General features: G+C 49.2%; 1 protein-coding gene across 5 annotated transcripts in view, besides 2 other annotated features; it reads left to right on the forward strand.

Annotated features, from left to right (window-relative positions):
- CORO2B (coronin 2B) overlaps positions 1–27,809 on the forward strand; it is a 209,434-nt gene that overhangs the window by 167,008 nt on the left and 14,617 nt on the right. For all 5 annotated transcript variants that reach the window (NM_001324014.1, NM_006091.5, NM_001190456.2 and 2 more), the window contains 3 exons: positions 9,760–9,876; positions 25,352–25,501; positions 26,162–26,326. In NM_001324014.1, coding sequence (NP_001310943.1) covers positions 9,760–9,876; positions 25,352–25,501; positions 26,162–26,326 — 432 coding nt within the window. The remainder of the gene's footprint in view (positions 1–9,759; positions 9,877–25,351; positions 25,502–26,161; positions 26,327–27,809) is intronic.
- Positions 9,528–10,117: an enhancer, noted in NCBI's record as "H3K4me1 hESC enhancer chr15:68987247-68987836 (GRCh37/hg19 assembly coordinates)". NCBI's record gives its function as "activates a minimal SCP1, AML or CMV promoter by ChIP-STARR-seq in primed H9 embryonic stem cells {active_cell/tissue: H9 hESC(primed)}" and the evidence as "EXISTENCE:reporter gene assay evidence [ECO:0000049][PMID:30033119]".
- Positions 15,249–15,436: an enhancer, noted in NCBI's record as "heart enhancer 11". NCBI's record gives its function as "activates a minimal c-fos promoter by transgenic reporter assays in zebrafish embryonic heart {active_cell/tissue: heart(embryonic)}" and the evidence as "EXISTENCE:transgenic organism evidence [ECO:0001131][PMID:20075146]".

Genomic DNA, 27,809 nt, shown 5'->3' on the forward strand with positions numbered 1-27,809 from the left:
TTGTATTTTTTAGTAAAGATGGGATTTTGCCATGTTGCCCAGGCTGGTCTCACACTCCTGAGGTCAGGTGATCTGCCCACCTTGGCCTCCCAAAGTGCTGGGATTACAGGCGTGAGCCACCGTGCCCAGCTGATAATGTTTTGAATTGCTCACCCTCCCCAACATGAGACAAGACCAACCTTCAGCTGCTGACTCTTAGAATGCACAAGTATTTCAGGTGCTCCAGGAGGCAGGAGGCCCAGGCCCCAGCAGGCTATGGAGCCTCTAGGGTAGTGGTTCCCAGTCTTTGCTGCTCATTGAAATCAATCCGGGAAACCCATTAAAAATACCAATGCCTGGCTCCTGCCTCTCAGATATTGGGATTAAATTGATATTTAATTGTTTGATTGATTAAACACTTTATTTTATTGATAATTTAACTGATAAGTTGATATTGCTCACTGGGCATTGGGATTACTTAAACTCCCAGGTGATTCTAAAATGTAGCCAAGTTTGGCAAGCTCTAGGCGGAGGAGAGAGACAGGGTGAGAAAAAGAGTAGGAAGGGAGGGTCTCCAAGAACAAATCTAAGGGGCTTCGCAACTGAGCTGCCGCCGACCCCTTGTGGGAACCGCACTAGAAATGTTGAGCTCCTACTTCTGTTTTTTTTTTTTTTTTTCTTTTTTTTTTTTTTTTGAGACGGAGTTTTACTCCTATTGCCCAGGCTGGAGTGCAATGGCGCAACCTTGGCTCATTGCAACCTTCACCTCCCGAGTCAAGTGATTCTCCTGCCTCAGCCTCCCGAGTAGCTGGGATTATAGGCATGTGCCACCACGCCTGGCTAATTTTGTAGTTTTGGTAGAGAGGGGGTTCTGTCACGTTGGCCAGGCTGGTCTCGAACTCCTGACCTCAGGTGATCTGCCTGCCTCGGCCTCCCAAAGTGCTGGGATTACAGGAGTGAGCCACCACGCCCGGCTTCATACACTGATTTCTAATGACTTTCCTCCCTGATTTACTTGGTGTCTCATCTACATCCTGAAACAGAAGCCAGCATAGCAGAGATGCCTTAGAGGCAGACAGCCAAGTGCAGATGATAGCTCCTCACTTCCCAGACAAGTCACCTTGGGCAAGTCGCCTCCCAGAGCTCAGTGTCTCATCCATAAAATGAACTGTTACCAGAGGACTATAAGGATTTAATAAAACCTTATAGGGTTGTTACAAGGATTAAATTTTTAAATGTATATAAATTGCTTAACACGGCCAGGTACAGTGGCTCACGCCTGTAATCCCAGCACTTTGGGAGGTTGAGGCGGGTGGATCACCTGAGGTCAGGAGTTCAAGACCAGCCTGATCGACATGGTGAAACCCCGTCTCTACTAAAAATACAAAAATTAGCTGGGCATAGTGGCACATGCCTATAATCCCAGCTACTTGGGAGGCTGAGGCAGAAGAATCGCTTGAACCCAGGCGGCGGAGGTCACCGTGAGCCAAGATCGCACCATTGCACCCCAGCCTGCGCAACAAGAGCGAAACTCCGTCTCAAAAAAAAAAAAAGAAAATAAAAAAATGAAAAAATTGCTTAACACAAGGCCTAGCACTTTGCACTCACTCATCAAATAGTCTTTGGTTATCACTATTGTCTTCTTCACAGTTGTTCTGGCATTGCCATCTCACATCTTTCTCATGTGGACTCAATATGGATTCCTGTGTTCTGTGCTGGTACACTGGAAGCATGGCACTCTGTGGTTGCAGGTGTGTCTTGCTTCATAAAGTAAAAAGGGGAGCCATGAAAAAGCAGCAAGGGTATCAGACCAGGGTCTGGGAATCTGGGAAGCCCAGAGAGGCCAGGGGTTATGTTCAAGGTCACTGGGCCAGTGAGTGCCGGAACCGGGTGTGGAAATCCTACCTCCTGCTCAGTCTGTTCTTTCTGCCTCGCTAAGCTGATTCTCTAGGTAAGAAAACATTTTGCTTCCATGTACAAAATTCAGCTCTGCAGTGATGGGAGAATCTAGGAAGCTGAAGCTGCAATGCAGGTTGGTTTGAAACTGTCTCATCCCCAGTCAGTTCACTGGGTTCAGATAAATCCTGGACAGGGGTTGAGAGTACCCACTGCTCCCCTGGACAGCCTGCTGGGTGAGCCACACCCGTGGACTCACCATGCCGCCAGCCTTTCCAAGGGAGGGCCCGGCCATGGCTGCCTGAGTGCATGCCACACACACACACTGAAATGCACTTTCAATTAACTATATAATTTTATTTAATTTCAAAGATGTATTTTCCCTGGTCTTATTCTGTTTTATGTTGCTGGGCACATTTACAATAAACAGAAATTTATTTGGTTTACGGTTCTGGAAGCTGGGAAGTCAAAGAGCACGATGCAGGCATCTGGCAACGGCCTTCCTGCTATGACATCCCATGGCAGAAGGTGGAGGGCAAGAGAGATAGAGCAAGAGAAGACCAAACTCACTTTTATAACAAACCCACTCACAAGACAACTAACCCACTCCCAAGATAAAGACATTAATCCATGCATGAGGGCACAGCCCTCATGACCTAATCACCTCTTATAACCACTTCCCAACACTGTAGCATTGGAGACTAAGTTTCCAACACATGAACTCTGGGGAACATGTTCAAGCCATAGCACCCTCCAGACCATCCATTGGTAACAAGGGTGTAGAGAAACCTGTATGAACAAATACATTGATGTTGCACAAAAGCTTTTGAAACTTGCAAATCTGGTAGGCACCAGTCTGCATATTATTTCTTCAAGAACTGTTTGCTTGAAACCAGAGAGGAATATTTTTCAATCAAGGCTATGGGAGGTGTGTTTTTTGTAATAATATCTGTTTTTTTAATAACAATTTTATATGTTTGTTAGAATTGGAAGCTGCTAGTAATATCCAACTATTCAGATGTTGTCACTATTAGCATTCTGATGTATTTTCTTGTAGATTGGTTTTTTTAGATAGGGATCCTTTTATATGCAGGTTGAGCATTCTAAATCCAAAAACCCAAAATCCAAAATGCTCCAAAATCTGAAACTTCTTGATCACCAACATGATGCTCAAAGTGAATGCTCTTTGAAGCACTTTAGATTTTGGATTTTCAGATCTGGGATGCTCAACCAGTAAGTAAAATGCAAATATTTCAAAATCTGAAAAAAAAATCAAAATCTGAAATACTTCTGGTCCCAAGCACTTTGGATATGGAATACTCAAACTGTATAGAACTTGATTCTGTTTTACTAAGCGTAGATCTTTAGCAATGCTCATGCCACTAAATATTCTTTGAATATATGATCTTAAATGACCTCAGAATATTCCATTATATGGGTGTACTGTAATTTATTTTGACAATGTCCCCATTGCTGTCCCTATGATAAATAACATGGCAGTGACTGTTTCAGTGTGCTTCTCTGTTGATTTCCCTGGGGTAAGTTCCTGAAGCAGAATTATTGGTCAAAGGTCATGAACCTTTTAAAAGTGTTGGAGAGGTTCTGTCAAATGGATCTCCGGAGAAGGTGCCCTACTTCACACTCCCACTCATCCTGGAGCAGGGCGTCCATGCCCTCCTCCTGGGGCTGGGGATCAGGTTGTATCTCAAAGACACCCTATCTGCCAATAACTCTGTCTGTTGGCATTGGCACACAGGGTGTATTTGAGATACAACCTGATCCCCAGCCCCGAGCTCTTCCTTGGGAAGACTCAGGGTACACAACAGCTGCGATTCAACATTTGACATTGAAGTTCTGTCCCAGCACCAAGAAGGGCTGGACTTGTTCTGTGAGCCCTCCAGGATAATGCCCACAAGAACAGGGTGAAGATCTCCCTAAGGGTTATAGACTCCAAAGAATAGGTCTCTTCCTCCACCCTCCACCCCAGGCAGCAAGGTCTCTGCCCCAGCTCTGTTGAGACTGAAGTTCTCTGAGGTTCTCTAACCAGATGGCAGGTTAGAGCCCTGGACCTCCGAGAACCCTACCCCTGGGACAATTCTGTGAGCCGACCATCTGAACAGTCATTGTACAGTCATGGAACATTGAAAAATCTTGACTCCATAGAAGCTCACTAAATCTCTGTTTTCTTAGTTGTAAAATGGGCTTGTTATGAGGATTAAATTTGATTATATTTGTAAATCAATATAAATGTGTTTATATTAATATGCTATTATATTATCAATAGCCATGTGTTAGTGTTGGTGTTAGTGTATTAGTGTATTAGTATGAAGCATGAGAAAACAGTATTGTGTAGCAGTTAGGAGCCAGGCTTCAGTGACAGACAGGACCAAGTTTGGTCTCCGGTCACACCCCCTGTACAGAAACAGTAACTTGTACAACAGAGGCATATGTGGGACTTGGGGAGAAGATTGCTGACATTTTTTAAAAATTTACAATCAGCTTCCTTTAGAACATTTGGCAGAGGCATTTTGTTTGTTCTTTAATTTTTATGTTTGTTAAAGTAATAAATGTGCAGAGGTCAGAAGGTCTAATAATACTCTACAGCCTGTAGCACTGCAAAGTGATGTGCTGGGGTTGGCTTGTGTTGGCTCGTGAGAGCCTACTGGTAAAATTTTTAGGAATTTAGGAGTTTTGCAAGCTGGTTGTTAAACAGAGCCATTATTATAAATTACATTGAGTAAACTTGCAATTAAGTTATAGTAAAAGCAGAAGTACTAAATATTAAAAATGTATTACTTCCCAATTATTTCACTATTATCTGTGTTCTTGAGGTTATCTGTGACTATTACATTTGCATAGTGGAAATATTCTATAATAGTGTGCTGAGAGCCTCTTCTATCTCTGTATTTGGTGGCATTAGCCTGAAATCAGTGATCGTGGGAATATTTACACCACCAAAATTGGCAAACGCTATGAATCAGGGCCTTTTTTTCTCTGGAGACCCAGTTGTTAAGCATCTACAGCCCACCACTGCCTAGAGCCACAATCCCTGTCCCGTCTTGTGACACCCCTGCATTTCCTACTCTGGTTTTAGCTGTTTCTTTTTGCACTTACCCCCATATTTCTTAATTACATGCCTTTACCACTGCATCTTGATTTTCAAATATTAGACATGGCCTACTGGCTCCCTATTATGGAAAATGAGGCTCTAGCTTTTTTCCAGCTCTGTCTCCCTTCTTACTACGCACACATACACACTTTCCTCGCCTCTGTCTTCCCAGTACAGCATAGCACAATTCTTGCTTAAGATATAAATATTCAGGTTTTACATTATTACAATCATGTAAATATTGTACATAAAGCATTAAGCAATGTGATCACGTTAGCTTTCTTTTTTTTTTTTTTTTTTTTTGAGACAGGGTCTCACTTGGTCATCCAGGCTGGAAGAGAGTGGCATGATCATGATTTATTGCAGCCTAGGCCTCCTGGGCTCAAGCAATCCTCCCACCTCAGCCTCCCAAGTAGCTGGGACTCTAGGTGTGTGCCACTATGGCTAGCTAATTTTTTTGGTATATTTTTTGTAAAGGTGGAATTTTGCCATGTTTCCCAGGCTGGTCTCGAACTCCTGGGCTTAAACGATCCACCTGCCTTGGCCTCCCAAAGTGCCAAGTGGGATTACAGGTGTGAGCCACTGTGCCTAGCCTACATTAGCTTTCTCAGACAACATGTTTTCTTGGAGTTAATAATTGCATTTTTAAATTTGTTTGATGTCTCTATAGAAAACTGGTTTTCGGCCAGGTGCGGTGGCTCACGCCTGTAATCCCAGCACTTTGGGAGGCCAAGGCGGGTGGATCACGAGGTCAGGAGATCGAGACCATCCTGGCTAACACGGTGAAACCCCGTCTCTACTAAAAATACAAAAAATTAGCCGGGCAAGGTGGCGGGCGCCTGTGGTCTCAGCTACTCGGGAGGCTGAGGCAGGAGAATGGCGTGAACCCCGGGGGGCAGAGCTTGCAGTGAGCCGAGATCGCGCCACTGCACTCCAGCCTGGGAGACAGCGAGACTCCGTCTCAAAAAAAAAAAAAAAAGGCCGGGCGCGGTGGCTCACGCCTGTAATCCCAGCACTTTGGGAGGCCGAGGCGGGCGGATCACGAGGTCAGGAGATCGAGACCATCCCGGCTAAAACGGTGAAACCTCGTCTCTACTAAAAATACAAAAAATTAGCCGGGCGTAGTGGCGGGCGCCTGTAGTCCCAGCTACTTGGGAGGCTGAGGCAGGAGAATGGCGTGAACCCGGGAGGCGGAGCTTGCAGTGAGCCGAGATCCCGCCACTGCACTCCAGCCTGGGCGACAGAGCGAGACTCCGTCTCAAAAAAAAAAAAAAAAAAAAAAGAAAAGAAAAGTGGTTTTCAAGCTTTTTTTTTAAGCAATGGAGCTCATCAGTCTCTAGAAAGACTTGTCTCCTTCCCGAGTGCAGGGCTCTGGCCACTCCTTCTTCTAAATAGGCTCCTCTCTGTTCTGAATAGGTTCCGGTGATGTTGCCTAACCTGCCCCTCCAGTGTATCGCCCGTGGGCTGCTGGCTAGAAGCTCCTGTTATCTGATGGCCACCTATTGACTGGTTCGGTGCCTTTCAGATTTGCCTGGGCTGGGCTGGGTGCCAAACACTTAATGCACACAGCTCTGCTCAGGGAACACTCCAATGCAGCTTTTGCGATCAGATGGAAGGAATGACTCTGTCAGAGAGTAAGTGAGCTGTGGAAGCAGATGATGCAGGGCCTGTCTGCCCATGAAAAGTCTGAGCTGCAGGAGGGGAGCTGGCTAACAATGACCAGTAGGGTTCAAGAACACTCGCTTTTGAGAATCACACCTGTGTGGAAATCCCGGCTTTGCTTTCAGCTGCTTGACCTTGGGCAAGTAGCTTAACCTCTCTGGGCCTTAATTTCCTCATACCTAATTAACAGGGTTGTTTCCAGAGTTAAAGATAACGTGCGTAACCCTAATAAATCTGAGTCACATGTGACCCGCCTCTGCTTAGAGTCTCATTTTTTAAAAATCATATTCAGCTGGGCGCAATGGCACACGGCTTTGGAAGGCCAAAGCAGGCGGATCACCTGAGGTCAGGAGTTCAAAACCAGCCCAGCCAACACAGGGAAACCCCATCTCTACTAAAAATATAAAAATTAGCTGGGCATGATGGCTGACACGTGTAGTCCCAGCTACTCAGGAGGCTGAGACAGGAGAATCGCTTGAACCCGGGAGGCGGAGGTTGCAGTGAGCCAAGATCACACCACTACACTCCAGCCTGGGCGACAGAGTGAGACTCTGTCTCAAAAGCAAATAAATAAAAAAAATTAACATTAAAATTTAAAAACTTTCCTTTTTTTTTTGTTTTTTTGAAGACAGAGTCTCACTCTGTCGCCCAGACTGGAGTGCAGTGGTGTGATATCAGCTCCCTGCAACCCTCGCCTCCTAGGTTCAAGTGATTCTCATGGCTCAGCCTCCCAAGTAGCTGGGATTACAGGTGCCCACCACCATGCCTGGCTAATTTTTGTATTTTTAGTAGAGACGGGTTTTCTCCATGTTGTCTAGACTGGTCTCAGACTCCTGACCTCAGGTGATCCACCCGTCTCAGCCTCTCAAAGTACTGGGATTACAGGCATGATCCACCGTGCCTGGCCTAAAAAATTATATTCTAACAGCCCAAAAGTAATTTAAAATATATTCCAAACCTAACTGCATCTTTCATAGAATATTGAAAGGAAGCCCATTTGTAACTGATATCAACGCTCTCCAAATCCTTTTTCTCTATCCTCTAATTTTCCCACAACATACAACATCAGTGAAATTCTCCTGGGTCCAGCCTCTGAGGCTTTTTTCCCCCTCTCTTTCTCTGCCTCATTCTGCATCTTCCATACCACTACCATTTTCTCCAGTCCTGTTTTTTCCTCTACCCATCCTGCCATGGCTCTGTTGCAAAAGATCAAACGATCTGGAAATGAGCCGACAGAGATGCAGGCAGGAAGTGGTGGGGAAGAGGTCACAGCAGGACACATACTCTGAAATAACTCTTCTTCATCTCACTGGGAAGTGCCAGGCATGTGCAGTAGCAAGGGCTTGGCAGAAATTGGTTCTCCTCCTCCTTATTATTCTGATGAGGAATCTGAAGGAGACAGCGGTATAACCTCCTAGACTTCCCTCTTTTCTGACCACCTACCCACTGTTAGCAGATGGGCCGTAACTGGAGAAACTTCCTTGCCTCCTTTCCTCCAAACTCCCCAAAAAAGTAGCAGGAAAAAGACCTGAGAGATGGAAGCATAGCTTCTGCCTATTCCCCCTCCCTTCTCTGCCACCTTTGTAGCCGCTAAACATGGAACAGCTCTTCCACACCCATCCACGCCCCTTGTTCCATCCGTTTGTGGACTCACCCCCTCCCAGGAAGTCATGGACTGAGCACCTACTGGGTACCAGACCTGTAAGGGGCTGGAGATTCAGAGACAAGGATGACACAGACTCTGTCCTCAGTTGCTCACAGACAAACAGAAACAAACTGCAAATCAGATCTGGTTGTGATTTGTTTGTTTGTTTGTTTGTTTGTTTTGAGACAGAGTCTTGCTCTGTCACCCAGTCTGGAGTGCAGCGGCACAATCTTGGCTCACCGCAACCTCCGCCTCCTGGGTTCAAGCGATTCTCCTGTCTCAGCCTCCCGAGTAGCTGGGATTACAGGCGTGTGTCACCATGCCTGCTTAATTTTTGTATTTTTAGTAGAGATGGGGTTTCTCCACGTTGGCCAGGCTGGTCTCAAACTCCTGACGTCAGGTGATCTGCCCGCCTTGGCCTCCCAAAGTGCTGGGATTACAGGTGTGAGCCACCGCACCCGGCTTGGTTGTGTTATAATGGAGGGAAGCACAGAATGCTGTGAGAGCACAGAGGAAGAGATCTTCACCCACTAAGGGATCAGGGAAGACTTTCTGCAGGAGGTGTCATCTAAGCTGTACAATAATAAGTGCTGTCATATATTGAGCATTTACTGATATTCTCTTCACTAAGTGCTTTGCTAAGCATATTAGCTCACATAATCTTCACAACAATGCTAAAAAGTAGACATTGCTATTCTCATTTTAGAGAGGGGAAACCGAGGCTCAGAGAAGTTCATTAACTTTCCTAAGGCCACAACTTTCACTGCTAAAAATCAGCAGAGCTGTAATTCAAACACAGGCCTGTGGGACTCCGAAGACTATGCTTTCAACCACAGGGCACTGTGTACCGGTGTTCAAGATGTACACTGCAGAAGGACGCTCATTCATATCGTAGAGAGAATGGCTCGTGTAAGAGTATATAGGTGGACCCAGAGATTCAGACCTCTCTGCTGACTCCCAGAGCAGCAGGAAAGAGCCTCCTCCTGATCCAAAGCTGACTGTGCCCTGGGGGAAGCAGGGAGTGTGGGCCCCAGGGAGAGTAGGTACACCCAGCATCTGAGCGTGCGTGAACAAGGCAGATCGTGGGCCTGTGTGTGTGCCACCAGGGCTGCTGCCCATCAGGCTGGTCACTCCAGTGGGTAGTAACAGCTTAACTTTAAACACTTTTACTTGATGCAGGGGCACCTTTTCCTTATTTGCAGAGGTGTATATGAACGAGCAGCAGCCTGTCCCACCATGGCTGTGTGGCCTCCCTGAACCATTCAGTCTTGGGGAGGACACAGCTGCAGAGCAGTGTGGCCCAGACTGACTTGGCCCAGCAGGGCCCAAAAACAAAAATAAAACACAGGTGATTCCTCAAGGACCTTCCAGTCCAGTTGAGAGGCCCAGAAAAAAGGTGCTCCATTCAAGGCCACCCCAGGGCCATCAAACTAATCTCCTTCTCTCTCTCTCTCTTTCTCCTCTGCAGACAGGCAGGATTGAACCCAACTACCCCAAGGTCTGCGGCCACCAGGGCAATGTGCTGGATATCAAATGGAACCCCTTCATCGACAACATCATTGCCTCGTGCTCGGAGGACACGTCGGTGAGCAGAGGGGTGCTCCCGGAGGAGGGTGGGCTCAGGCCCCTCCCTGCTTCCTTTGGAGGCCTCTCTTCCTACCCTCCCCTCCTCCACCCTTTGCCCTTCTTCCCTCCTCTTTGTCATCTTTCCAGCAAGCCCCACGATGTGGGGGGGATGGGAGCTAGGAAAGAACCAAGGCAGCAAATCCCTGCTGGATTCCAGAGATCTGTGTTTTCAGTGTGATTGAGCTTGGAGGTGTTGCTTTTGTAGGTGAGAATTAGAATTTAAAAATTAAGCGTGTGATTCAGCATTTGTCTATGCTGTCTAAAGAAGGGCAAGGGAAAGAATATGAACAAGGAGGGAGGGAGAAAAGGAAGGAACTGGATGGGCATGAGGAAAAGAGCGCCTGTTCTTTGCAGGCTGGGCAGGGTAAATGTACCATCTGGTTTGTCCTCTCTGAGTCGTGGTTTCTAGGAAAGGAGACTTAGCTGAGAGAAGTGTCCTGATTTTTCCAAGGACCCACACAGGTGACCCAAAATTTGAACTCCATGTGTCCCACCATTCAATGAGAAGAGAGAAGAAACAGGAGAAGGGAGATAAGTAAGAGAGATCAGGGAGGAGACAGAGAGAACAGGGAGAGAACAGATAGGAGAAATAGAGATAGGAGGGAAAGGGGGAAAGAGACAATTTAGAGAGGGGGATAAAGAATCCAGGGTAAGTGGCTTGGGCACAGTGGGTTCACGCCTGTAATCCCAGTGCTTTGGGAGGCCAAGGCAGGAGGATCACTTGAGGCCAGGAGTTTGAGACAGCCTGGGCAACACAGTGAGACCCCCGTCTCTACAAAAAATTGAATTAAAAAAAAAAAAAACTAGGTGGGTGTGGTGGTGCACACCTGTAGTCCCAGCTACTAGGGAGGGTGAGGTGGGAGGATCACTTGAGCCTGGAAGGTCAAGGCTGCAGTGAGCTGTGATTGTGCCACTGCACTCCAGCTTGGGTGACAGAATGAGCCACTGTCTCAAAAAAAAAAAAAAAGAGTTCGAGCATGGTGGCACATGCCTGTAATCCCAGCACTTCGGGAGGCTGAGGCAGGTGGATCATTTGAGGTCAGGAGTTCGAGACCAGCTTGGCCAACATGGTGAAACCCCATCTCTACTAAAAAGATAAAAATTAGCCAGGCGTGGTGGCGCACCCCTGTAATCCCAGCTATTCGGAAGGCTGAGGCAGGAGAATCACTTGAACCTGGAAGGCGGAGGTTGCAGTGAGCTGAGATCGTGCCACTGCAGTCCATGCACTCCAGGCTGGGTGACAGAGCAAGACTCTGCCTCAAAAAAAAAAAAAAAAAGAATCCAGGGAAAGTGAAATTTGAAACTGTGTTCTGGCCACTCCTTCCTCAGACTCTACCAACTTTCACCAGTGGAGGTAGGGTCAGAGGGCGCTGGCAGTGGCCTTCCAGAGGGAGGGTCCCATAATGTGTTCCACACTGTCCCTGAGCAGCATCAGTACACCAGCTTGGAAGAAAGAGGAGATTTCAGAGCCTCAGCTGAGCTGGTGAGGAGGGCCTGGTGTTCCCAGATGAAGGAGGATCAGCCTAAGCCCCTGGTGTTCCCAGGCAAAGGAAAATCCCAGCCTTTTAGTCAGGCCACAAGCATCTACCTGGTGCTCACTGGCAGAGCCTGGGTACCGGTCAGATTTTCAGGAATGTTGGAATGGGAAGGAACTTCAGAGCTCATGTCTCCCTGTCTTCCCAGACTGGACTGTGAGCTCCTGGGAGCAGAGACCACAGCCTATTTGGTTCTGCACCCCATGCATCCAGCACAGGGCCTGGTACCTAATAAATGCTTAGTAGGTGTTGGATGGGATCGATGGATGCATGGATGGATGGATGGATTGTGGATGGATGGATGGATGGATTGTTGGATGGATGGATTGTTGGATGGATAGATGGATGGATGGATTGTTGGATGGATGGATGGATGGATTGTTGGATGGATGGATGGATGGATGGATGGATTGTTGGGTGTATGACTACATTGATGGATAGAGAGACGAATGAGTAAAATTGATGATGGATAGATGAATGAATGAAAGAATGGATAAGTAAATAGATGACTGTATGACAGGTGGGTAGATGGATGAATGAAAGATAAACACATGAACAAGTAAATTAATATAGTCCATCTAATCAGTTATCCAAAGAAAGAAAGATTCACAGTAAATAGCCTCCATCAGTTCACACGCTGGGGGTGAGGTCAGCTGGCACAGTACCTAGTACATGGGAGAGTGGTGAGGAGGTGACTGGAAGGGTGGAGTGCACTTGACCAGCCCATAGTCCATCACAGAGGGCTCCTGAGAGTGGCAGCAGTGAAGGCAGTGCCCTTGGGAGCAGAGAGAGCAAGAGCCTATAGTGAAGATGGTCCATCAGGCTTCAGCAGCCCAGAACCAAATTAGGGACAGTGGTCAGGGGTCAGGACATAGGCAGGCCAGGGCTGCAGAAGGAAGGGCACAGGTGCTGGAGCTGGGGGACACAGAGAGTTCACCGGTTGCTTCCTGGGCTGGGAAAGAGGCACAGGAGCTGGTGGAGGCTGGAGAGCCCAGTGGCCAGCACAAGAGGCCTGGGGTCAGTGGGAGAGAGGGCAGGTGGAGGTGCTGCCCATCCTTCTCTCCTGGGTTCAGGGAGCCCAAGAAGGAATGCGGTGACCACAGCTGGCTCCGTCCCTGCCTGCTGAGGTGCTGGGAGAGTGGCGGGAAGGGCTGACCCCAGCTGGTGTCACCAGCCAGCAGGTAGTAGCCCCTGGAACTCAGGGCTGCTCCTCTACCCACTCTGGGATGGGCCTTTCACATACATTTAGCTCTTAGAGCCACTCCATGAGACAGGCACTGCCACCCCCAAACTGAGGGTTGGTAGGTAGGTCACAAGCCAGGAAGTAGAGGAGCAGGGATTTTACCTGGCCTGCTCGCTGCAAAGCCCATGCTCTGCCAAGCTTCCTCATCACAGACAGCCAATGCTGTCTCCCAGTGGCTCATGTCTTACCCAGGGACCCAGCTAGGATAACAGATGAGCAGTGCCTGTCTTGATGTAGGGGGGACAAATTAGACCAGGGCTCCTGGAATCACTGGCCACCCAGGTTCCTCCTCAGGTCTCAATTTCTCCTGCCTGGCTCATGGTGAGAAGGATCTGACCAGTCCTAGCTCGGCGTCTTATTTAACCTGATATGTGCCTCATGCTCCAGGACCCCAGCTTGTAAACAAGACATCCATGGTTTGTGTCCAAGAAAAACATAAGGCTGCATCCCCGGCCACATGAGCCAAGAGACTCTGTTCAGTTTTGCACACACTGACTGACAGACCACGGTATGCCTTGCACCACCCTGGCTGCTGGGGTCCAAAGAGGGATCTGGTAGACCTGGGCTGGAATCTCAGCTTCACCATTTACCATCTGGGTGGCCAATGGAGTGTTACTTGGCCTCTCTGAGCCTCGGTTTTGCTCGTCTCTGAAACAGTAAGATACCTCCCTTTGGCTGTTGTGATGAGGATGAAGGTTAGCCTATGCCCAGTAGTATGCCTGTCCCTTCATCTATGCCTGCTCATCTCACTCTTGCTCTGGAAACACCCCTAGTAGAGGCGCAGAGGGGCAGGGCCCACCCCACCCACCAAAACGTGGTGCAGAATGAGGTCATTGCATCCACCAAGGTCAAGCAAAGGGCTATGCACACAGAGAAGAGAGAGAGAGATTAGTTTTGACCAAGGTGCAGAGAGGAGAAGAGGTAGTTAGCTGGACTTTGGAGAAGCAGGACATTGACAGACAGAAAAAGGGTTAGAGAAGGAGTCCCAGGAAGAGACCCAGTATATCCGGTGTGCTTGGCCTGGAGAGAATGCATATACAGTGCGCTTAGAAAAGGGAGAGTCATCTGGTGTGACTGGAGCCCTGGGGTGGTGGTCAGTGAGAGGAGCGGGCAGGAAGGGCAGCTGCGAAGGGCAGTTGGACCCAAGGAGAGAAGGCTTAGGGTTCAGGGTGAGCAGCCCAACTTTGCAGCGAGACTTGTGCTTCTCAAGCCATCTGAGCATCAGTGGACCCCACCGAGTGTGGTGCATGGGAGACACTACACGCTCCAGGGAACCAAGGGGACCTGTGTGGATGGAGGGGGTCACAGACAGATTTATGGAGGACATGGGGCCTGAACTAGCTGGATACAGGTAGATCAGTGGAGAGAAGGGAAGAGCGGAGGGGTGTGGCTGGAGGAGTGAAGGGAAGGGACACGGGCTTGGGGCACAGGAAGGGAGGGGCTGGCCTGGGCTGCTGATCCAGAGACAAGGAGATTAAGTCTGGATCAGAGAGGAACTAAGCTCTCGCTCCAGCTGCCAGGCCAGCTGCCCCAGAAGTACAGCCCTGAACCGCATCTTACCCGGGTGTCCACCCCTCCCCGCCTTGGAGCTAGGGATCTTGGCAGTGGAACCAACAGGTTCCTGAGGCTGGATCCCAACCTCTCCTGGAGGACGTGCTCTGGGACCCTAAGGGAGGTGCCTTGCCCAAGGTCACACAGGGAGCCTTTGTCCTAGGAAGGTCCCCTGACTCCCAGTCTGCACTCTCAGCCCCTCACCAGTGGCCCTGGTTCTACAAGGGAGGAAACTGAGGCTCAGGGCCATGGTGGGCTGGGCTGACAGTTCAGATTCATCACGCTCAACATTTACATCACAGCGTCTGCTCTCCTCAGGGTCCAACCTGGGTGCTGGGGGAAAGCACAGGAGAGGCATCCCCCGCTGCAGCCTGGGAGGGGGTGGGGCGTAAAGGAAATGGAGTTTGCAGCTTCCAGGGGGTGGACAGGAGGTCAGCACTGCTGCCAGGGCCCTTCCCACGGCCTCCCTGCCTCCTTCAAAGCACCTGAGGCATCGGCCACCGAGGCCCTCCCTCCACCCATTCCAGCTGGAATGGTCAACTTGCTGCTCACCAGACACGACATCCAGACCCAGGCTTGGGAGGTCAGTCGGCAAAGCTGCTGTGTGTGCCAGGCACTGTGCTACATACAGGGCTGGGGACGGCGCCAGGCCACAGGGGCCCAGAGGGAAGCTCTTCACAGCAGGTCTGGACCAGTTCCCCTGGTAGTGCCTGCCTGTTTCACCCCCAGCCCTCCACTTCCCTCTACTTGTCTCAAAACATTCAGAGGACACTGGTGGGATTTCACGAGCCCTGATTTCCCCAGCTCCTTCCCCATATCCCCCAGCCCTGCAACCTCCAGTGAAATCAATCCCCGTCCCCCAGGATCCGTTTCCCCTCCCTGAGCAGGAGGAGGTCCTCTGGAGTCTATCCTCCATCCCGCCAGGGATCCAGCAGAACATACCCAGGCCCTTCCCCAGGGGCTTTGGGCCCGAGGGAGGGCTGGGGGCCATAACTCTCCCTGGCATCTGGCAGAATCCAGTTCTTTCCGCTGCTGGGTGATGTCACCTATTGTTGAAGGCTATGCTTTTTATAGCTTCTGCCGCAGCTAGGGAGGGCGGCTGGCAGGCGGCAGGGAAGGGCGCTATCGGTTTCCAAGCCTCGTGCTCCCAGCCCTTCTCCTGGGGCCAGCAGCCGCGGAGAGAGAGAGAGGTTTCTGTCATCTTAAGGAGAGGGAGAGAGCGATCCCAGGAGAGAGGGAGGAGGGAGAAGAGGCAGGCGCCTCTTGCTGGTGGGCCGAGCTCCACATCTTTCCTTTGCCTTTTATTCAAGCTCTTCCATCCTGTGTCTGCTCTCCTCACCCTGTAGATGATGCCCCTCCCTGAGGAGCTGGGGGCGGGATGGACAGGATGTCAGCCCTGCTGGAAGCCACCCACCACCCTGCCTCCTGCACACCCCCACCTCCCGAGCTCCGGAACCAATACCTCTTGGAGCTGGAAGGGAGTGATGCACTTTTGTAGAAGGAAGGTAGCCCTGAGGGGCCAGTGCGCCGAGTGGGTCTTCACTAATGATTTAGCAGCCACAGAGAAAGCAGCAGTATGGCTCCCTGGCTAAGCAGCCAGGCTCAGGAGTCCCTTAGGCCTAGGTTCAAATCCTGGCTCTGCCACTTCCAGGCTCTGCGATCTAGGACTAGTTTCTTTTTTTTCTTTTTTTTCTTTTTTTTGAGAGACGGAGGCTCGCTCTGTCGCCCAGTCTGGAGTGCAGTGGCGCGATCTCCGCTCACTGCAAGCTTCACCTCCCGGGTTCAGGCCATTCTCCTGCCTCAGCCTCCTGAGAAGCTGGGACTACAGGCGCCTGCAACCACGCCCGGCTAATTTTTTTTTTTTTTTTTTTTTTTTTGAGACGGAGTTTCGCTCTGTCGCCCAGGCTGGAGTGCAGTGGCGCGATCTCGACTCACTGCAAGCTCCGCCTCCCGGGTTCACGCCATTCTCCTGCCTCAGCCTCCCGTGTAGCTGGGACTACAGGTGCGCGCCACCATGCCCGGCTAATTTTTGTATTTTTAGTAGAGACGGGGTTTCATCGTGTTAGCCAGGACGATCTCAATCTCCTGACCTCGTGATCTGCCCGCCTCGGCCTCCCGAAGTGCTGGGATTACAGGCGTGAGCCACTGCACCCGGCCTAGGACTAGTTTCTTTACCTCTGAGTACCAGTTGCCCTATTGTAAAATAGGAATCATCTCGGGCTCTGAGAACTAGATGAATATAAAAGTGTTTTGTGTCCCCTAAGAACTCCATAGACATTAACTGTTACTTTCTTTTCCTTAAGTGAGGGCCCAAGAGTTTAAATAACTTGCCCAGGCCGGGCACGGTAGCTCACGCCTGTAATCCCAACACTTTGGGAGGCTGAGGTGGGTGGATCACCTGAGGTCAGCAGCTTGAGACCAGCCTGGCCAACATGATAAGCGGAAGGACAGATCATGTCCTCCTCAGGGGGTTGGGTCCAGCCCAGGGAAGAAGGAAAAATCAGGTACGGGCACGGGCAGGAGTGTGGAAGAGAGGAGGAGGGTAGTCTGCCTGATTCCAATTCTGAGTTTGAATCCCAGCTCCTCCTTTCCTAGCTGTGACACCTGGGCAAGTTTTCTCACCTCTGTGGGCCTCATTTCCTTATCTGTGCAAGGACAGTCTTTAGTAGTCATAATAATAATAGGTAGCACTTATTCTTTCATGCATCCAGCGCCACAACGACCACTTCATGCATCCTCTAGCAACCCCCTCCCAGGACTCACAGCAGTAGATGCTCAACAATGCTTCCTTCTGGGTCCTCAGTTCGCCCCTCCTACCTCCCTGGGTTTGGTGGGATTCGTTTCCCATATTGGCAAACAGTGAGTCCAGTGCTCAGAAGATGTCAGAATCAAGGTAGATGTTGAGATTCTACCTCTTGTTTAGATGAATGATGATAAACTCAATTTTTAGAATGAACAGAATGATTGACAAGAAACGGGGAGGAGAGAGCTCCAGGAGCCTCCTGGCCCCTAAGCAAACACCTTCAGCTTTTCTCTTCACTGCAGGAGACATCACAGTTACTGTGCTCTTGGACCCAGGCACCATCTCTGTGGATTGGTTAGATGGAAATCTTGGAGCCAATGATTGTGTACTGTATACAGCTAAATTGGAGGCTTCTCAAGGGCAGAAACCATATCTTTTTCTTTTTCTTTTTCTTTTTTTTTTTTTTTTTTTTTTTGAGACAGAGTCTCACTTTGGCACCCAGGCTGGAGTGCTGTGACACAATCTTGGCTCACTGCAACCTCTGCTTCCTGAGTTCAAGCGATTCTCATGCCTCAGCCTCCCAAGTAGCTGGGACTACAGGCCCATGCCACCACTCCCAGCTAATTTTTGTATTTTTAGTAGAGACGGGGTTTCACCATGTTGGCCAGGCTGGTCTCGAACTCCTGGACTCAAGTGATCCACCCGCCTCGCATCCCAAAGTGCTGGGATTACAGGAGTGAGCCATTGTGCCCAGCCCAGAAACCATATCTTTCTTTTTTTCTTTTTTTTTTTTTTTTTTTGAGACGGAGTCTTGCTCTGTCACCAGGCTGTCATGCAGTGGCGCGATCTCAGCTCACTGCAACCTCCGACTCCCTGGTTCAAATGATTCTCCTGCCTCAGCTTCCCGAGTAGCTGGGATTACAGGCACGCGCTACCACGCCCAGTTAATTTTTGTATTTTTAGTAAAGACAGGGTTTCACCATGTTGGCCAGGCTGGTCTTGATCTCCTGACCTCAAGTGAACTGCCCGCCTGGGCCTCCCAAAGTGCTGGGATTACAGGTGTGAGCCACCTCGCCCAGCCCAGAAACCATATCTTATACTGTCCTGTTCTTCCCCACGCTACCCCAAAACAGATTTGTTTGTTTTTTGAAGTAGCTACTAAGGGGTTAGATATCAGATCTTCTCCTAGCTGCTTAGGCCCATGGTGAACTCCAACTCCTCCTGTGAACTTCTATACCATATATACAGACAGTGGGTACTGTCTGCTTGCTGTAGCTGTGTAATAAGCAGCAGGTCCCTTAAATGGAGAATTCTGCCCCTTAGGAACAGTGTCATCAGAGGAGCTAACAGCCCTAGCCCTAAGTCACTAGCAGTCATGACCCTCAACATGTCAGAAAGCAGAGATCTAACCAGACACCTCCATAATCATGTACGCGTTTTAAAGATGAAGTTTATGCTGCATTCCATAAAATGGAAACAAACTTCATATCATATGTATTGACTACACAGCGGGCAACAAAGTGCACATGAAAAATATAACTTGGCCAGGCTCGGTGGCTCATGCCTGTAATCCCAGCACTTTGCAAGGCAGAGGTGGGCAGATCACTTGAGCTCAGGAGTTCGAGACCAACCTGGGCAATATGGCAAAAACCCTTTCTCTACACACACATACACACACACACACACACACACACACACACACACACACACAAATACAAATATTAGCTGGTCATGGTGGTGCGCATCTGTAGTTTCAGCTACTTGGGAGGCTGAGGTGGGAGGATGGCTTGATCCTGGGAGGTGGAGGCTGCAGTGAGCCAAGATTGCACCACTGCACTCCAGCCTGGGTGAGAGAGCAAGACCGTGTCTGAAAAAAAAAAAGAAAACTATAACCCAATTACATCTAAAGTTTGACCACTATAAAACTTGGGTATGATCCCTAATTAATATTAGGTAAGCATCCTTAAGTGTTATTCTTTGGTCATCTGCTTGGTAGTGTATACATTTTATCTTTACTTAGTATTTATAGCAGCTCTGCTGTATGGGTATAATTATCCTTACAGGTATGAAGACAGATGTTCGGAGAGGCTAAGAAACTTGGGGAAAATCTCACAGCCAATAAGGTCAGAGCCTGCATTCTAACAGAGCTGTCAGACCACAAAGCTTCTTGCTTGTTGGCCAGCTGCTCCCTCTCCCACGTGCAGGGACAGTTGGTTTTGTAGCTTTATTAACTGTCCTTATCAGCTGCCTTGCCTTTGCCTTGTCTGCAGTGTCTGCTGCCTCCCCAACAAGACTGACAGCTACTTGAGACTAAGAGCCGTTCCCCCGTATCTAATCTGTTTGGCACACAGAGGGGAGCTGGGTATGTTCTGTTGGGTTGAACATCACTGAATTAAACAAGGCTCTGACCCAGGGACCTGTAAAGGGGACAGTCCCCAGCAAGGCAGGCTTGCTGGAGAGAGTAGTTTTGCCACTTCTCCCCACCCTTTCCTTCCAGAAATCCGGTTTGGCAAACGCTACTGAGTTTCCTGTTGAATTGAAGTAACCTCCCAGAGCAACCTCTGAGCAGATCCACAGGGCTCCTCCCATGCCTTATCCACTCTGTTTTCAACAAATCCCTCGAATACTAAGGGATTGGAATTCCTTTCCCAGCTACTCAGGCCCACTGTGAACTCCAGCTCCTCCTCTGAGCTCTGTAGCATGTGGTGCCAACTGTTTGCTATAGCCATGGGTCAAGCAGAGCCCGTCTCCTTCTCCCAGTAATGTATTCAATGTCAAAGCAGAAAAGTTTGGAAGATTAACTAATACTATCTAAATGTGCAGATGAAGGCCAGGTACAGTGGATCTCACTTGAGGTCAGGAGTTCGAGACCAGCCTGGCCAACATGGCGAAACCTTATCTCTACTAAAAATACAAAAATTAGCTGGGCGTGGTGGTGGGCGCCTATAATCCCAGTTACTCGGGAGGCTGAGGCAAGAAAATCCCTTGAACCCAGGGGATGGAGGTTTCAGTAAGCTGAGATCACATCACTTCACCCTAGCCTGGGCAAAAGGTGAAACTCTATCTCAAAAAAAAAAAAAAAAAAGAAAGTAAATGTGCAGATGAGAAAACCAGGACCCAGGGAGGGAAGTGGCTGGTATCAAATGGGGATAAAGCAAGGCACCTCTCTCCCTCTCTGTGGGATATTTATTCATCTGAGTCCCTCAAGCCCTGCCTGAGACCCTACATCCAACAGTTCTTGGTGAAAACAGCTCTCTTGGTTTCCATCTGTAGCCCTTCATTCCATGAGACTTGAATCCAGTTAAGGGGCTGGTGCCTGGGCATAGACACCAGTTACCCTGACCCCCCATCCCTGGGCTTAGCCCCTAGGCTCCTAGGCAGAGCTGTCACCTCAGCATGTCAGCTCATGTATCTAGAAGGCTTCACACTTCCAAGAGCTCTGCACCCAGTTTACTTGAACCCACACACCTCTAACAGGTACAGTCTCTATTTTCTGGATGAGGAGCCTGAGCCTCAAGACAGGTTAACTGGCTTGTTCACAGTCACTCAGCTAGTACGTGAGACTGGAACCTGGGCTGGGGCTCACTCCACAGCCCCCCATGTGACTCTACCTTACCCTGGCATAGGTGTAACCCAGAGATGCCTCAGTTACTGGGTTGCTCAGGAATTAGGGTGTCCTGGGAAAGAGTTTTCTTCTGAGACTCTGGGCCCAAGCAGGGCTTCTTCAAGCCTCAGTGACGAGATATGACACACATGACCTCTGGCCTCCTCTCCACCAGCCAGCCTGCTCCACACGAGCCAGGCTGACCCCCGTGCAGGTTCCCTACCTGCTGGCGCCCGACCCCACACACACTGGGCATTTTTCTGCCTCCTCACCGCTTCCAACATCCCAACTTGTCTTTTTAAACTTAGTTCAACACCCTCTCTTCCAACACTGCTCCTCCCAGGCCCTCCCACCCTCGTCCCCCTAACAGCTGGGTTCAAGCTTTCCAACAGCTCTGTGCCCCCACAGGCTCTCCGTCTGCATGCACCGCTTAGTGCTACTCAAGAGCAGGCATGGGCAAGTTCAACACCACACCCCACTGGCTCATAGGAGGCCCTCGGGAGGTGTTAGTGGAGTTAATGAGGCTCAACTTTTGGCTTCAAAGATCTTTCTTGATGGCCAGGGGCAACTATTCTACCTCAGTCAATGCTTATGCACCAAGATACAGTATGAGACATCCCTAGACAGAATCCTCTGCCCCCAAATATCTCTTCCCTTTGAGTCTGAAAGCTTTAGAGCTTCCTACTCAAGTGCAGACAAGGGTAGCCGGTAGACATGAGAAAAGATGCCTGGTATTTTTTTTTCTTTTTTTTTAGAGACAGGGTCTCACTCTGTCACCCACACTAAAGTGTAGTGGTGTGATCATAGCTCACTGCAGCCTCGTCTTCCTGGGCTCAAGCGATCTTCCCCTGCCTTAGCCTTCCCAGTACCTGGGACTACAGGAGCATGCCACCACATCCAGCTAATTTTTTCCTTTTTTGTAAAGATGGGGGTCTCACTGTGTTGCCCAGGTTGGTCTTGAACTCCTGGGCTCAAGCAATCCTCCCACCTAGGCTTCTTTTTTTTGAGACAGAGACTCACTCTGTCGCCCAGGCTGGAGTGCAGTGGCACAATCTCGGCTCACTGCAAGCTCCACCTCCCAGGTTCCAGCGATAGTCCTGCCTCAGCCTCCTGAGTAGCTGGGATTACAAGCGCGCGCCACCACGCCCAGCTGCCGCCTAGGCTTCTTAAAGTGCTAGGATTACAGACGTGAGCTACCACGCCTGTCCTCGGTATTTCTAAGAATGGAAGGAACACAAATCCAAACAACAGGTGGCATTTTTGACCTATCAGATGGGTAAAAATCCAGTTTTTTAAAGGTATAGTTTTAGAGGCATAATGAAGCAGTCTCAGACTCTGTGGGTTAAAAACTAGGACAGTTTTTGGGGACAATTTTACAGTAACTATAAAAAATATGAAACACTTCTAGCCATTTTCCTACAAGAATATCCACACCGCTGCACAAACTTGGATTACGAGCATGTTTGTCATAGAATAAATTGTAATCATGGAAAAAAGTGAACAGAACTTAGATGTCAATTAATAGAGGTCGATTATATTCATCATGGAACGGTCATACAACAGATGCCTCTCTGGCCACTTAAAAAGATAAGGTAGATATTCATGGAGTGGTGTGGAAAGATGCCCAGGATCTGTTATGTGAGAAAAGCAAGTTGAAAAAGAACATGTGTAATAGTATCCCTTCTGGGTAAAAAGAAAGAAGTGTGTGTGTCTATATGTCTGTGTCTGCGATAGGTGGGTGTCTAGCCCAAGCATTAGTCTCCCAGCTTCAGGGTCACCTTTCTACAGTACATTTGGGGACAGAAGGAATGTGGTGACTACTGAGTTATGTACTCGCCAGCTTGTTCCCCCTGCACCCTCTCAGTCACTTCCAGACCAGTCTTCATCCCTGAACGCCCTGGTGCAGGGGTTGTTGAGGAAAGAGCATTGGGGTATTCTGGGCCCCCTATACATCACTCCCTCCCCCAATTCCCCCCCTCCCACCATCTCACAGGACTGTATGGGAGTCTTGGACTTTACTAGAGGGTTGGAGCCACCAAAGGGGATGACAATGGGGATGGGAAAATATTTCAAACTCTCCCCAAATTATAAAGTTTTTCGCAAGTGGGCTTTTGAAATGGATTTACTGAAACTGAGAATGGTGCACCCAAGGGTGACCCCAAACCCTTGACAGAACTTGCCTTTCTTACCTTGAAACCTCCCAGTCAACAGCCACAGGAGCTGGCTCTGTGGGGGGAACACACATGAGGGAAATGCTTATTCTTATAGTATGAGGAGGAGGCACCAAGAAGGAAAATTTGTCCAAGGAATTCCCTGAGGGGCACCCCAGTTCCTAGCCTTGCTCCCAGGACTTCTGGTCTGCCTTTGGCTTTCTTTTTTTCTTCTTTTTTTTTTTTTTTTTTTTTGAGATGGAGTCTTGCTCTGTCACCCAGGCTGGAGTGCAGTGACGTGATCTCGGCTCACTGCAAGCTCCGCCTCCCAGGCTCACACCATTCTCCTGCCTCAGCAGCCCAAGTGGCTGGGACTACAGGTGCCTGCCACTACGCCTGGCTAATTTTTTTGTATTTTTTTAGTAGAGATGGGTTTCTCCGTGTTAGCCAGGATGGTCTCGATCTCCTGACCTCGTGATCCGCCCACCTCGGCCTCCCAAAGTGCTGGGATTACAGGCGTGAGCCACCGTGCCTGGCCCTGCCTTTGGCTTTCTTCCTTTTTTTTTTATTTTCTGAGACAGAGTCTCGCTCTGTTGCCCAGGATAGAGTGCAGTGGTACATTCATAGCTCACTGCAGCCTTGAACTCCTGGGCTTAAGGGATCCTCCCACCTCAGCCTCCTGAATAGTTGGGACTACAGGTGCATGCCACAACATCTGGCTAATTTTTTCAATTTTTTGTAGAGGCGGAGTCTCACTATGTTACCCAGTCTGGTCTTGAGCTCCTGGGCTCACGTGATCCTCCTGCCTTGGCTTCCCAAAATGCTAGGATTGCAGGCATGAGCCACCTCACCTGGACTTGACTTTCTTTAACATGCTTTCTGCATTTATTCATAGCCTTTGGAATTATAATCAATTGACTAGTATTACATATTGATATAATGTATTACATTGTTCCTTTAATGTTGATCACTTACACTGCTTCTACATTTTCCATATAAATGATGTTGCAGTGAACATCTTCATGCATGGAGATTTTTTGCTTATATTGTATTTTAAGAGTGAAGTTACTGGGTCAAAGAGTATAATATAAACGTCTTTATGGCTCCTACTAAAGATTGCCAAATTGCTTCCAAAAGAGTTACTCTGATTTATAATACTACCAACATCCATTCAATCTATAACTTCTAGTATTACCTTGCCAACACTGGCTCTTTTTATTTTTTTTTGGTTGGCTATTTTAGCAGATTATAAATGGTATCTCAAAGCTGTTTTTCCTGTTTTTCTCCTTACTAGCAAGGGTGGAGTTCAGATTTTCGAAAAGATTTTTTTTTCGTGTTTTTTTTTTTTTTTTTTTTTAGACAGAGTCTTGCTGTGTTGCCCAGGCAGGAGTGCAGTGGATCTCAGCACACTGTAACCTCCGCGCCTGGCCTCAAGCGATCCTCCCATCTCAGCCTCCCGAGTAGCTGGGACTATAAGCGTGCGCCACTACACCCGGCTAATTTTTGTTTCTTTGGTAGAGGCACGGTCTCGCTGTGTTGCTCATGCTGAAAGATTCTTTTTCTTTTTTTGTTTTTTTAAAGTGTCCTAAATTATAGTCACATGTGCTCTTTCCAACCAGTTAGACTGTAATGAATAATATTAATGATAATAATAACAATTATAATTCCTTAGGCCTTTAGAGCACTTTGCAGTTTATAAACTGTTATACCATTGTGTCTTTTCATTCTACCAGTAGGTGAAACAGGGCAGGGATGTTCCCCCCACCTACCACCTACCTTATTGATTAAATAGTTGAAGCTATGCAGAGGAGGTTTGCTTTGAGTGACAGAAGCCCACCAGGGCTGATGTAAATAATTAAGGGGGTGATTCCAAGACTGCAGAGAAACAGCTCAGTCTCTCCCTGTCTGGGGCCACGTGGTCTCCTCTCTGCTTCTCTCTGCATGTCCCATCCTCCTCTCTGCAGATCATCTTTTTCTGCTTCTTTATCAGTATCCACAAGACTGAAAATAGCAGCTCTATCCAGGCTCTGCCCATCCTTTCAGCTCAGGCCCCAACATCTGATCAGTCTCTGCCTTCAAGTCCACCATCTCTCAGGAGAGACCTGGGGCCCCTCAGCCTCCCAGATGCAGTTCCCCCTGCCCAGGGGTCCATCCTGGGTGGGGGACACAGTGGGGGATAAGGCCCTGCAGTCCAAACAGCCAAAGTGGGGCTGAGCAGAGTAGCAGGAAGGCAGAGTCTCCTAGAAGGATGTGGCATGTGAAGCAAGGATAGGCTTTTTAACACAACATTTGCTAAAAGGGGCTCATGCATGTTCTTCTTATCCGGGCTAGGCCACAGCAGTAGCAACATGCCAGTAATAACAGTTCTTAGGTCTGCAGAGACTTCCCAGAGAAAACCTCCCACAGGCAGAGAGATGGTCTCCTTCCTCTCCAGCCACACCCTGAGACCTCCCAGCAGGCCTCAGTCGAGCTTTGCCCATCGCCTCAAGCCAGGAGGTGGCTCATCAGGCAGATCTCAGAAAGCCTGGTGTCCGAGGAAAGGGGCACCTCTCATCAAGGGACTTCTTGGCCGTGTCCACCCAGCCTGGACCCTCATCTCCCTCTGCAGGTGCGGATCTGGGAGATCCCCGAGGGCGGGCTGAAGCGGAACATGACGGAGGCGCTCCTGGAGCTGCACGGGCACAGCCGGCGTGTGGGGCTGGTCGAGTGGCACCCCACCACCAACAACATCCTGTTCAGCGCTGGCTACGACTACAAGGTATGCAGTGGGCAGGCAGCTGGGTGGAGAGGGATTGGGGAAGAGAAAGGGGCCTTTTGGGTACCCGTAGGAAGCACTGTTGCTTCCTAAGCAACCAATATGGCCTCATCTGTTCATTTGCTTATTCATTCATTCATTCATTCGCTACACGCAACTGAGCAACTCCTGTGCACCCTGTCATTCCTGGGGTCCACAGAGGCCGGAGGCATCTTTTCTGCCTTCTCTGGTGGTTGATTGGAGGAGAATGCCCCTTCCATGCCCACACCCTTTGCCTGGCCACTTCTTAACCAAGAGGTGGCAAAAGGGGTAACCAAAGCTGCTGGAGGGCAAAAAGTGGAGCCTCAGCCCCGAGCCCCAGGCATATCCTCAAAAAAAGGTGGGCTGACCACATGGGACCTGACAAGGAACATGTATCCTTCTTGCTCTTCCATAAACTGAGCCCAGGCTGGTGCTGGGATCTGACCAAGGATATTGATGGATTTGTGTGCCAGGGATGTATCAGCCTTTCCATATAGAACTCAATGACCCCCTCCTGCACCCCAGCACACCCCAGGCCCTGCATGGGGCGCTTCTCCCAGGGCAGTCAAGTGTGCACTGGGGACAAACACCCCAGGACCCTAGCAGCCACTGACCCTGCCTCCCATGCATCTGCCCTCGCAGGTCCTCATCTGGAACCTGGATGTGGGTGAGCCGGTGAAGATGATTGACTGCCACACGGATGTGATCCTCTGCATGTCCTTCAACACGGACGGCAGCCTGCTCACCACCACGTGCAAGGACAAGAAGCTGCGTGTGATTGAGCCCCGCTCTGGCCGTGTTCTGCAGGTGGAACCCTACATTTTTTGAGATTGAAGGGGAAGGTATTGAGGGCTGGGGCTCAGCTTTCAGCAGGCCTGGAAGAAAAAGGCTGTGCCAGCCCCCTTCTCCAGTGCATCTCACTGCACCTCTGTTGAACAACCTTTCTCTCTCCTGGGCCCTTCTCAGCTCATAGGAACCCTGCCTTGTTCTGGGTGGGGAGGGACCTCATACCCTTTCCTGTCCCCACTGCACCCCCTACCTCCAGACAGGATTCTTCTGGCTTGCTCTGGGGGCTGAACTGGTGACACCCTTCAGTGCATACATCCCCAGGTGTTACCCAGGTCCACCACAGGCACAGGAGGAGGAGACACTGGACTCACTGCCCAGCCACTTGATAGGATGAGCCTGAGGGAAATGGCTAGGGTGCCAAGGCTGATGGTGAACTTAGCTCCACTTTTGGTCTTTGAATCTCCTGGGTCTTGGGTTTGAGGAAGGGGTTAAGTGCCATTTGGAAGTAAGAAATTACCATTTTTTGAGCACCTGCTGTGTGCTGGTCATGGGGAGAGATGGAATGGAAAATATGGATGATATCTGAGGTTTGCCTTCTACACAAGAAGGGATTAATGCTTGATCTGGGTGTGTTTACCTTGGAATAGTCCAATATTACAAGACCAGAAAGTTTTCTAGTACTATAGGTTGAGCATCCCAAATCCAAAAATCCAAAATCCAAAAGACTCCAAATCCAAAACTTTTTGAGCACTGACATAACACCCAAAGGAAATGCTCATTGGAACATTTCAGATTTTGGATTTGGGGATGTGGGAAGCTCAACTAGTAGGTATAATGTGAATATTCTGACATCGGAAACAATCCAAAATCTGAAACACTTCTGGGCCCAAGCACTTCAGATAAGGGCTACTCAACCTGTACCACTACAAATAAGAATAATGAGAGTTGCTTAGCATGATTAGTGTTAACTGACATCTGCTAAGAGCTCACTGTGTGGCCTGCACTGTGCCCGGGGCTCTGCACATCATCTCATTTAATCCTCAGGACAACCCTCTCAGCTGGGTGCTGTTACTCCTCTCATGTGATACGTGAGAACACTTAACCTTAGCGAAGTTGGGAGACTCGAATCTCACAGTTCCAGGAGGAGCTAGGATTCAAACCCAGAGCCCATGCCAAGCAGAAAGAATGTTTATGAACAGAGAACCCCCACCTCCAATTCCCAAATGGGGCCATGAGCCCAGGGAAGGTGAAGGTCTTCTCTTGGGCTACACTTTTTTGGTGGAGCTAGAACTAGAGTTCAGAGTGTGTGACGCCAGCCTGAATATGTGCACTGCCCCATTGGCCTCTTTTCTGACTTGCTGCCAACTTACCTGATGCCGAGGACTGTTGTGTGTTAGGAGGAAATCAAGTGTCACGAGCCAGTGGGCAGGAAAGGAGGCCCAAGACAGCTCAGTTAAGGAGGCACTCCCTGATGAGGCAAGCTGTGAAGCAGTGATGGGCA

The sequence above is a fragment of the Homo sapiens genome, chromosome 15 (assembly GCF_000001405.40).
Source record: "Homo sapiens chromosome 15, GRCh38.p14 Primary Assembly".
In the NCBI taxonomy this organism is placed as follows: domain Eukaryota; kingdom Metazoa; phylum Chordata; class Mammalia; order Primates; family Hominidae; genus Homo; species Homo sapiens.